Source organism: Homo sapiens, chromosome 6 (assembly GCF_000001405.40).
Source record: "Homo sapiens chromosome 6, GRCh38.p14 Primary Assembly".
NCBI classification, from domain to species: Eukaryota; Metazoa; Chordata; class Mammalia; order Primates; family Hominidae; genus Homo; species Homo sapiens.
Window position 1 is genome coordinate 56,669,067 of NC_000006.12, and position 12,395 is coordinate 56,681,461.

General features: G+C 39.5%; 1 protein-coding gene across 9 annotated transcripts in view; it reads right to left on the bottom strand.

Moving 5' to 3' along the window:
* DST (dystonin) overlaps positions 1–12,395 on the bottom strand; it is a 496,835-nt gene that overhangs the window by 211,071 nt on the left and 273,369 nt on the right. For all 9 annotated transcript variants that reach the window (NM_001144769.5, NM_001374722.1, NM_001374736.1 and 6 more), the window contains one exon: positions 1,575–1,741. In NM_001144769.5, coding sequence (NP_001138241.1) covers positions 1,575–1,741 — 167 coding nt within the window. The remainder of the gene's footprint in view (positions 1–1,574; positions 1,742–12,395) is intronic.

The window sequence follows — 12,395 nt, forward strand, 5'->3', positions numbered from 1 at the left end:
AGATTGTCAGGAGATTTGAATGAGAGAACACGAGTATAGCATTTAAGAGAACGAGAAAGTAATCAAACCATTAACTATCCTATATAATTATTTTTATTGTAATCAAATAAATTGGTTAGTTTAATGACTTTATAGTTTATATATAGTTTATAATTTAATGATGTCATAGCTTTAGAAATATAGCAAGTTATTCAACAACCTGACATAATATTTGTAAAACCAAAAAAAAAAAAAAAAAAACTGAGGTAAAGAAATATATAGTTTTCAGCCTGTAATCCTAGCACTTTGGGAGGCCAAGGTGAGGGGATCACCTGAGGTCAGGAGTTCAAGACCAGCCTGGCCAAAATGGTGAAACCCCATCTCTACTAAAAATACAAAAATTAGCCGGGTGTGGTGGCATATGCCTGTAGTCCCAGCTTCTCAGGAGGCTGAGGCAGGAGAATCGCTTGAACCTGGGAGGTGGAGGCTGCAGTGAGCTGAGATCATGCCACTGCACTCTAGCCTGGGTGATAGTGCAAGACTTCATCTCAAAAAAAAAAAAAAAGAAAAAGTAGTATATAATTTTCAATAAATACTTTCCGGGGATTTAGCTTCTTATAAGGCAATAAGAACATGAACTCAAGAGCCAGATTGCCTAGGTTTGAGTTCCAAGTCTGCCACTCGCTGGCTGTATGACTGCAAGCCAAGTATTTACTGGGTCTCAGTTTCTGTCTGTTTACTGGGATGACAATAGGGATGTTGTGAGGAGAAAATGAATTAATATATGTAAACTGCTTAGAACAGTGTCTGGCACTTAGTAAGTGCTATGTAAGTATTAGCGTGGATTTAGCTGTTAATAATGCTCACCAGGAAACTATTTACCACCCCAAAACTGGCAATTGTTAAGCCCACTCACTAGAGTAATTAGACTAGGAGATATGAACTGGAAACTTGTGGGCTACAAGTCCAAACTAAACTCTAACCTTCAAACTCAGCAGTTCTTTAGAGGCAAAATCAAAGTCTGCTATCTGCGAAGTTACTGACAACATCCGAAGACATATTACAGCTGTGTGTGCGAGCGCCCGTGCGTGTGTGTGTGTGTGTGTGTGTGTGTGTGTGTGTGTGTGTATAAGCTACAATTCAGAATCATGGCCTCTAAGTAGTGGAAATGTGATTTTTAAATTTTTTTTTTTATTTTCTTAAGCCAGAGTCTCACCCTGTGACTCAGGCTGCAGTGCAGTCACATGATCACAGCTCACCGCAGCCTTGGCCTCCGGAGTAGCTGGAAATACAGGTGCTTGCCACCATGCCAAGCTAATTTTTTGTATTTTTTTGTAGAGAGAGGGTTTTACCCTTTTGCCAAGGCTGTTCTCGAACTCCCAGGCTCAAGCAATCTACCCACTTTGGCTTCCCTAAGTCCTGGGATTACAGGCATGGGCCACTGCACCTGGCCAATTTTTTATTTTAATTTTTCTGTATTTTCTAATTTTTTGCCATGCTTTTGCTTCTATAATAATAAAAGATAATTTTAAAATTCAGAGATGAAAGAAATGTGTCTTACAGTTGTATAAGGAAAAAATACACAAATTCCATACCTGTATTTATGAATGATGGCATTAAATAATTTTCCATCTCTCCAGCAGGTAGTGAAATTTTCACACCGAATTCCAGCATAACCCTCTGTTGCCTGCTGCGTCCAGAGTAGCAATCTCTCTTTTGCAGACATATCCTCTGACTCTCCAGTAACATGGATATCAGATATCTAGATATAACAGAAAGTGTTAAACCTTTAGGAAGGAAGGAAGCTAACTCAGATTAAGAACCTACTATGTGCCAAGCACTTTCCAAAATCTAAGATTAGGATAATAACAATTCCCGCTTCATGAGATTGTTAAGAGATTTGAATGAGATAACATGTGTACAGCACTTAAGAGAATGTGCCACATGTAGAAAGTTATCAAACCATTAGCTATTCTATATAATTATTTTTATTTAGCCCTCATACCTCTCCCTTATAAATTTTCCCCATTTTACATATAGGAAATAAATAAATTTTATCCATTTTACATATAGGAAATCTGAGTTTCAAAGAGGTTAACAACAGATTGAAAAAGTCAGATTTAACTCATTTGTGTCCAATTTAAAAGCATTTATTCTCTTTTTACTAAACCAAAACTCTACAGTATTGAAAATTCTACGTTCTTCTTTCCTAATCAGATTTGTTAATACAACTTAAGGAGGTGTTTTCCAAGTTCAAGTAGATCAGAGGTAAAACCTATAAATTACTCTATACTACCACCTGCAGAGCAGAATTTGATCCAACAGGTATTCTGTGTAAAGAACAATGAAAGAAATAGTATTCTCTCCTATATAACAATTTGGCCAGAAGTTCTAATTTTCTCATGAGTCCTTGCTTGGCTTGCTCAACCTGAAACCTTTATCAACTGATTTTTTTCTCCTGTATTTTGTTTTCATGAAGTTTTCTAAAAGTCTCTTCCACTGAATAATGATAAAACAAGTCACAAGTTTCCATGATTTACATTCTCCCAAAAGCATCTCTTTGATAAGGGTCCTACTTAATCTGCTGATAATTATATTAAGGCACAAAGTGACTTTACCAGGGGTCACACAGTAATTCCAAAGCTGAGATTAACACCACCAACAACTGTTCCCTCAATCAGTGCAAGACGCAAAGCCAAGGGATCAACAAGACAGGCTGCACGCCAGAATCAGAATGAGCAAGTCAGAGATGGGAAGCAAGGCATATGAAGAACAAATCATTCTGTCACAGGGAAAATATCACTTGACCAGAGTCATGAGACAGGCTTCTAGACCTGGTTCCTAGTCTCATAGGTTTGAATAATTCATTTCATGTTTGTAAGTCAACTTCCTTATCTATAAAATGAGGAGGAGGCAGAAGCAGATAACGTTTAGGACCCTTTTCAGTCTAAAGTTTTACTAACAGACTATAAACACAACACAGAAGGTCACAATAGGCAGAGTCAAGCAACTGAAAGTAGAGAATTAAAAAAAAACTCCAAAGAAAACCTGTTACATGTGGTAGTGCCAGGCTCAGACAGGAAGCCCTTTATTCCTCCCAGCTGCCACAGAGCCAGAGGCACAGCCAATCCAGGGACCCGGGGCAGGAAGGCTGTGGCAGTGAAAGCCCTTGCCAGGCCTCGCAGCCCCTGACTTCACTTGTTGGAAATGATGGGGGGCCTCACACACTCCTTCTCCAGTGTTCAGCAGAGGCTGCCATGCCCCATGGAGCTTCACTCTCAGCCATAGTCTGAGACACTCTGCTTGACAAATGGTCAGGATTTAAAAGCGGAACAAACTGTCTCAATTTTAATAATCTTTGCCAGGAATCTGTGCCAAACTCCAGAGCATGGAAAAGAACTCTGCACATGAACACATCATATAGTACACATAGAAGAAATTTCTTTTTTTTTTATGTGACAAAAAACAGCATAAAATTTACCAATATTCTTTGGCCCAAGTTCCAATGATATTCTGGTCCAAAATTATGCTACAGTACCTTTCTGGCACATCCCAAGAGTTTAAGTCCCATGTCCACCATTTACATGCTCAAGTTACTTAACTGCTTTAAGCCCATTCCCTTACTTGTAAAATGATGATGATAATTATACCATGTTGTGAGAATTCAACAACATTAGCACAGTGTAATGCCTGGCCCATAGTCCGCAAATGCATAATACAGATGAGCTATGTTATTGTTGTAGTTATTGTTATTCTTTCTGAAAAAGGGAGAAGTAAAACCTTGACTTTATTATTTTCTTAACTCTCTTCCCCATAGAGAGGAATAAAAGAATAAGTTTTTTAAATTTGCTGCCTTAAACTAATGAAAATCTACGATCGCAACGGTTCAGAGAAGCTAATCTAGGAAACTGTGAATGAAAAAGTTGAGGCCAGGCACGGTGGCTCACGCTTGTAATCCCAGCACATTGGGAGGCCAAAATGAGAGGATCACTTGAGCCTAGGTGTTCAAGACCAGGCTGGGCAACATAGTGAGACCCTGTCTCTATTAAAAAAAAAATTAGCCTGGCATAATAGCATGTGCCCATATAGTCCCAGCTACTAGCCGAGGCAGATCGCCTGAGTCTAGGAGGTTGAGGCTGTAGTGAGCCATGATCACGCCACTGCGCTCCAGCCTGGACAACAGAGTGAGGCCCTTAAAATCAAAAACAAAACAAAACAAAACAAAACAAAAAAAGAAATAAAAGAAAAGAAAAAGTTGAGCCTCTTGGTCTCTATAACCCTTTAAAAATTATAAAATCAACTGTTTTGGGGAACCCTTACAATTCAAGAGCCACCTAGATAGTATGTATAATGACAGATAGAAATGGTAGATAGCTGGGGTTGTGTGGGACTGTTTTCTGCTAATTCCATGCCAGTCAGTTACAAAAGCATTACCTGTTAACTAGGGAAGTCAGTAAAGTTCAACTACAAGATACCAGCTTAACAGGTTCAAGTGCTACACAGTTTTACCAGAGGAAGGATGTTAAAGGAGTTTAGAGGTCTGAAAATAGCCTAAATGTCAAGAGAAAATAATGTATTCTTGTTAAATAAGTTTCCAATAGATGAATTTCAGATTGTTACAAATACAATTTCAGACTGTTATACATACACACACTATTAAAAAGCGATAATTTTAAAATGCATATTCCAAGGTATATTCATATAATTTTACAATGCATATGCAAATGTTATGAACCAAGCTTTAAAATATCAAAGATTAAGCCAAGTTCCAGACTCCACTAGGCCCACAAGCAGGGCAGGTGAATTCTAACTCCTCCATTTTCAGCTTTTCCTGCTACTTCCAATAAACTGAACATCATCCTCTTATAGCAATTTAAGGTATTTTTTAAAATACTGTTACCATTAGCCACTAGTATATCAGACTTTTCATGATACTATGCAACCAAAATTAAAATAAAAAATAAGTTAAATGCTAAAAATTGTTTAAGTCTTCAGTTGTCATTCATAATCCCTGATCTGAAATCTGTGTGTTCAGCAGAACAGCCTGAATCTTCCACCAATGACAGGTTAATGGTTTCACATTCAGGTCAGATTCTAGAAAGTAATCAAGCTACCTCCCTTCAAAACCCGGAGGCAATGTAGTGATAATCAGAGAGGGTTTCAATTCATGCTGCCTCAGTTTAAATCTTAATTCCAACAGTTAATGAAATGAATGACCCAGACTACTCACATAATCTCCTAAAATCCATTTTCTTTCTTTTTTTTTTTTTAAGACGGAGTCTCACTCTGTCGCTCAGCATGGAGTGCAGTGGCACCATCTCGGCTCACTGCAACCTCCACCTCCCGGGTTCAAGTGATTCTCCTGCCTCAGCCTCCCAAGTAGCTGGGACTACAGGCATGTGCTAACATATCTGGCAATTTCTGTATTTTTAGTGGAGACAGGGTTTCACCATGTTGGCCAGGCTGGTCTTGAACTCCTGACCTCGGGTGATTCACCCGCTTCGGCCTCCCAAACTGCTGGGATTACAGGCGTGAGCCACCGCACCTGGCCTCACTTTCTTCATCTTTAAAACTTACATAATAACAACAACCTATCCAAAACAGAAATCAAGAAAGCAATCCCATTAACAATAGCTTAAAAAAAAGACTTAGTAATAAATTTAACCAAGGAGATAAAAGACCTTTATACTGAAAACACTGATGAAAGAAATTAGTCATGAATAAATGGATAGATATCCCATGTTCATTCATGAATTTGAAGAATTAACACTGTTAAAATGTCCATACTAGCCAAAGCAATCTACAGATTCAATGCAATCCCTATCAAAATTCTCATGACACTTCGCACAGAAATAGAAGAAACAATCCTTCAATTTGAATGGAACCACAAAAGACCCCAAATAGTCAAAGCAATCTTGAGCAAAATGAACAAACCTGGAAGCGTCACACTCCACCTGACTTCAAAATATACTACAAATCTATAGTAATAAAAACAGCATGGTACTGACACGAAAACAGACAGACCAGTGGAACAACAGAGAGCCCAGAAATAAACCATGCATTTATGGTCAATTGATATTTGACAAAGATGCCAATAACACACAATGGAGAAAGAACAGTCTCTTCAATAAATGATGTCTGAAAAACTGGATATCCACATAAAGAAGAATGATATTAGACCCTTATCTCACACCATATACAAAAATCAACTCAAACTGGATTAAAGACTTACACGTAAGACCTAATATTATAAAGCTACTAAAGAAAATGTAAGGAAAAGTTTCTTGACTTTGGACTGGGCAATGATTTTTTGGATATGACTCCAAAAGCACAAGTAAGAAAAGCAAAGACAGAAAAATGAGATTACAGCAAATGAAAAAGCTTCTGCACAGCCAAAGAAACAATAAACAAAGAAACACATTACAGAATGGGAGAAAATATGTGCAAACCATTCATCTTATAACGAGTTAATATCCAAAATATATAAGGAACTAAAACAACTCGGTAATAAGAAAACAAAAAACTTGGCCGGATGTGGTGGCTCACGCCTGTAATCCTAGCACTTTGGTAGGCCAAGGCAGGCAGATCATGAGGTCAGGAGATCGAGACCATTCTGGCCAACATGGTGAAACCCCATCTCTACTAAAATACAAAACATTAGCTGGGCATGGTGGCACGTGCCTGTAATCCCAGCTACTCGGGAGGCTGAGGTAGGGGAACCACTTGAACCCAGGAGGCGGAGGTTGCAGTGAGCTGAGATTGCACCACTGCACTCCAGCCTGGTGAGAGAGCAATGCTCCATCTCAATAAATAAATAAATAAACAAATAATTCAATTTAAAATAAAGAAAGGATATCATAATAGACATTTCTCAAAACAAGGCATACAAATGGCCAACAGGTATATGAAAAAATGATCAATATCACTAAGCAGCGAAGAAATGCAAATTAAAACCACAATGAGGTATCACCTCACACCTGTTAGAATGGCTAGTCTCAAAAAAAAGGAAAGATAACAAGTGGTTTTTGTTTGTTTGTTTGAGATGGAGTCTCGCTCTGTCGCCCAGGCTGGAGTGCAGTGGGGCAATCTCAGCTCACTGCAATCTCCACCTCCTGGGTTCAAGCAATTCTCCTGCCTTAGCCTCCCGAGTAACTGGCACTACAGGTGCCCACCACCACACCTGGGTAATTTTTTGTATTTTTAGTAAAGACGGGGTTTTGCCATATTGGCCAGGCTGGTCTTGAACTCCTGACCTCAGGTGATCTACCTGCCTCAGCTGCCCAAAGTGCTGGGATTACAGGCGTGAGCCACTGCACCCAGCTGATAGCAAGTTTTGTTAAGAATGTGGAGAATAGGGAACTTTTGCACTGTTGGTGGGAATGTAAGTTAGTAAAACCATTATGGAAAACAGTATAGAGGTGCCCAAAAAATTAAAAATAGAACTACCATATAATCCAGCAATCCCATTACTGGGATTATTACTTGGATATATATCCAAGGGAAATCTGTATGTCAAAGATATACACTCCCATGTATAATGCAGCATTATTCACAATGGCCAAGGTAAGGAATCAATCTAGGTGTCCATCAACTGAAGAATGAATTTTAAAAATGTGATATATACAAACAATACAGTACTGATCAGCCTTAAAAAAAAAAAAAAGGAGGAAATGTAGTTATTAACAACAACATGGATGAAACTGGAGGGAATGTTAAGCAAAATAAATCAGGCACATAAAGACAAATATTGAATGATCTCACTTATATGTAGAATCTAAAAAAGTTGAACTCATAGAAGTGGGGAGAGTAGAACGGTGGTTACCAGAGGCTGCGGGGTGGTTGGGGTGGAAGTGATTGGGGCGATATCGGTCAAAGGATGCAAAATTTCAGTTAAGAGGAATAAATTTCTCTTACACAACATAGTGACTATAGTTAGTAACGATGTACTGCATTCTTTAAAATTTCTAAAAGAGTAGATTTTAAGTGTTTTCACCTGAAAAATGTAAGTACTGAAGTAATGTATATGTTAATTACTTGAATTTCATAAGATGTTGTACATGATAAATATATGTAATTTTTATTTGTCAATTTAAAAAAACTTAAATATAATAACATCCTCCTTTGGTGGTTCTAAAGATTAAATAAAAACAGTCATATCAAGTGCTTATCACAGCGCCGCCACATAGAAAATTCTACAAATGTTAGCTTCTCCCACCACTACTTATCTATCTATCCATTTTCTCCCACCACTACTTATGTACCATCCATCCATCTATCTATCCATCTATCTGAGATGGGGTCTCACTCTGTTGCTAGGCTGAAGTGCAGTGGCAAGATCATAGCTCACTGCAGCCTCAAACTCCTGGGCTCAACTGATCCTCCCACCTCAGCCTCCCAAACAGCTAGGACCACCACCATGTGCCACTATGTCTGGCTAATTCTTTTAAATTTTCTGTGAGACAGGGGTCTCTTTTTGTTGTCCACGAACTGCTGGCTTCAAGTGATCCTCCCACATTGGCCTCCCAAAGTGCTGGGATTATAGGCATGAACCACAGCACCTAGCCCCACCATAATTTTATTATCTGCAGTAGTATTGCTTCCTAAAGCTTTTCACCAATCTGTCAGGTAGCACCAAAACAAACAAAATACTTTATACCAGAGTTCCTTTCAGAAACTTGAAGCCTTCATGCCTCACATCCTGGTCATTGCTGGCTACTGCCCAAATTCAAGTTCTTCCTGTCACTGAGCCTCTCCTGCCCATATTTGATCTGGGCTTTATCTCTCCTGACCCAGCTTGCTACCATTCCCAAACTTCCAAAAATATCTACCCCATGGTAAACAAAGTCTCATGTCTTCAATACCTTAAACTGCTTTTATCTTTTTACTGAACCCCAAGTATCCCCCATGGCAATAACTAAAATTCAGCCAAGTCCCAGACTCCACTAGGCCCACAGGCGGGGCAGGTGAATTCTAACTCCTCCAGTGATGCAAAACCAGTGGTTTTCAAATCATTACCTGTAAGTACAAAAAAAATCATTTTTACATTGTAGGCCAGTCTTGCTCTCTGGCTCTCCTCCTTCCTCTCCTTAAACACGATGCTCGCATCCCTCAAAGATGTGGCACCTGGCCGTGTGCCTGGACACCCAAATGCCATCTCCACGTAGCACCCACCATCAGTGCTTTGTTTCTTCATTTCAGCCAGTCATACACCTACATCCTGGATCTCATCATCTTGAACCAGAACTAGTCTACCTCAGGTATTTAACTTCTAAAAGTAGTTTCCTATTCTTCCAGCACTTTCCTTTGCTAATTCTAGCTAAACCAATTATCTGGCTTCATCAACATCTCACATTCCTTGACATGCCCAATTTTCTTCCTATCTATGAACGGTAGAGGAAGAAACATAATTTTTTCTTCAACTCTCATAAATTCTTAATTGGAACAGATCCCTGTAACAAAAGATAGATTAACTAGAGAAAAACGAAGAGTAGTTTATTATTATAATATGTATATTTCATATATACTTGGGGGACAGGGTGGGCTGTGGGAGACCAGAAGATGCCATGTCAAAATAAAAGCTTGTTGAGCTAAAGGCAATTAAGTAGCAGCAGATGCAGGAAAGCTCTCTACTCTCCATTTGCCTAAAAGCAGGACACAGATTTACAAAGACAAAAGGTATCCTGTCCCCCTCTACCAGAGAGAAAAACATTAACCAATAAAGATAACTTTAGACTGTTATGGGCCTGGAGATGGGACCAAAATTATCTACATGAACAAGCTTTACTAACGGGCCTTTGTCTGCCATTTCTTTCCCTTCCCACAAATTGCTGCCGCCAGAGACTCAAAGTTTTTTTCTTTTCTCTTGTCATTTCTCTAAAAATGTACTGCCCTTTGTTGAAGACACTATATAAAATGGAATTCAAAGCTGCCTCTGAGAACTGCTCATTCCCTGGGCTCTCCCATGTATGTATGAAACATACATGTTAATAAACTGTCTTTCTCTTATCAATCTGTCTTTTGTTGTAGGCATCCATTCCAGCTAACTTACGAGGGTTGAAGAAAATTATTTTTCTTCCTCTACAGATGCCCCTTCTATCTTTACATCCTTCTCTGTTTGTCTTGTACTATATTATTTATCATTTCCACCACTTCCTTGCTAATATCCGTAAGTCCTTCACATCTTTGTCCTTACTCTGCAACCACTCCACCACCAAACCTTAATCCTGATCAATCCAGCTGCACGTCTTCTCTGCTTTCACCCTAAGCTATAAATGTCTACCAGAGAAAAGCATACCACCATGTGGACTCCTGCCACCACAAATTCCAGGTCTGCAACCTCAGCTAGGTACTCAAAGAAATGTGGCAATTCTTCTTGGTGTCCTAACTGGCCAGCTCTTTCACCCCTCACAATATTGCTTTTAGTTATTTACTATTTGGCTGGGTGTGGTGGCTCACACCTGTAATCCCAACACTTTGGGAGGCCAAGGCAAGAGGATCACTTGAGCCCAGGAGTTCAAGACCAGCCTGGGCAACATAGGAAGACTATGTCTCATTAAAAAAAAAAAAAAAAAAAAAATTAGCTGGGTACAGTGCCACGTGCCTGCGGTCCAAGCTTCCTCGGGCCCCTGAGGTGGGAGGATCACCTGGGCCCAGGAGGTCAAGGTTGCAGTGAGCCATGACTATGCCACTACACTCCAGCCTGGTGAAAGTAAAACTCCATCTCCAAAAATAAAAATTCTTCACTACTTGTCTAAAACTACCTACCCTACCACATCTACTTTTATGTTTTTATGTTTAGCAAACAAATTTCCTCTCCTCCTTTATTGAGAAAATAGCTACATAAGTAAGAACCCCCTTCTGTCCTGCTACCCACAAACTTTGCTCCCATATGACCTCCTTTTCTCTTGGAGTTTAAATCCTTTCACCTCCAACTTCCTAGCGATCTCATTCTACCAATAATTCCCTCTCACGTGGGTCTCTCAGTATTTAAAATATCCAAATCTCTTCCATCCTAAAATAAATAAAAATAATCTTCATGAACTCAATTCCCTCTTTACTTAACACCATCTCTCTCCCATTCTCTTCTTAGGAAAGCTACCTAAAAAAGTATTCTGTATTTTCTTGTCTCTATTATCTTCACACCTCTACCTGTTTTGATTTGGCCTCTTTCTTACCATTCCACTAAAACTAAGTAAAGGTGACCAGACAAAGTGAGGGAATTCTTGTTCATAACTCTATTTTTCCAATAAAGAAGAAAATTAGATTGTTAACATAATAGAAGTGATGGGTAGGGGGATGCTGATGAGTTGAAAGATATTGTGAGAGATCATCTATCACCTCTTCCTTCACAGTCTCACTCATTCAGCAAACACTCATAAATGTCCACTTGTACCATTAACAGGCATTGGTTATACAACCATCCTCATGGAGCTTACAGTCTAATGACAGAAACACCATGGAGAAGAGCTCAAGGGTTGTTTTCCCATCCTTCCATTTTCTAATCCTGATCTCACTGAGGCATCTGTCACTGGCAATCTTTCTTCTTTGGCTTCCACAACGTCACCCCTTCCAGGCTTTCCTCCGGCCTCTCTAGCCATTCCTTCTCAGTCTTCATTAGAGGCTCCTCTGTTACCCAACCTTTAACATTATTCCCCAGGGCATAGGCCTCAGGCCTCTTTCCTCCACTCTCCTCACTCTCCCTGGATCATCTCTACCACAATGGCTTTAACTGCCACCTTGACAGGGTTGACTCCCACATCCCTATATCCCATCCCAAACCTTATCCCTAAACCCATCTCCCTATCATACACTTCTATTGCAATAGTAAAACTAACCATGTATTGACCACTTAAATGAGCCAGACACTGTGCTTAAGCTCTTCATAAAAATTACCTTATAATCTTTACAATATACAATATCATTTTACAAATGACAAAGAGACATAAAGTAATAATATGACCTGCTCAAGTTCACCCAAATTACTAATAGGTAGAAGTCAAATTTGAACTTGAATCTGTCTGGCTACAAAGCTGATACTCTTAACCACTGCGCTATATCTCACAGCCCCTTCAAACTCAATGTATTGAGAACTTAATTTCTCATTTTCCTTCCTGTATTTCCTCCTGCATTCCTAGCTCAGAGAATGGCCCCACCATTTACCCAGTTGCCCCCAAATAAAAGAAGCTGCTGGAGTCATCCTTGATGCGTTTTCAACCTCTGTGCCCACATCCAATTGGTAACACAGTCCTCTGCAGCCTCATCTCTCCTCCCTGCCCTCTGACACCCACCCCAAACACTCCTTGTGCTCCAGCCACAGTGAACTACTTCTACTTCCTCAATAAGAATGCATTTCCACAAGATACTATGCATTTATATGTACCACTCTCTACCCAGAGAAAGCCCTCACCAATTCCCAT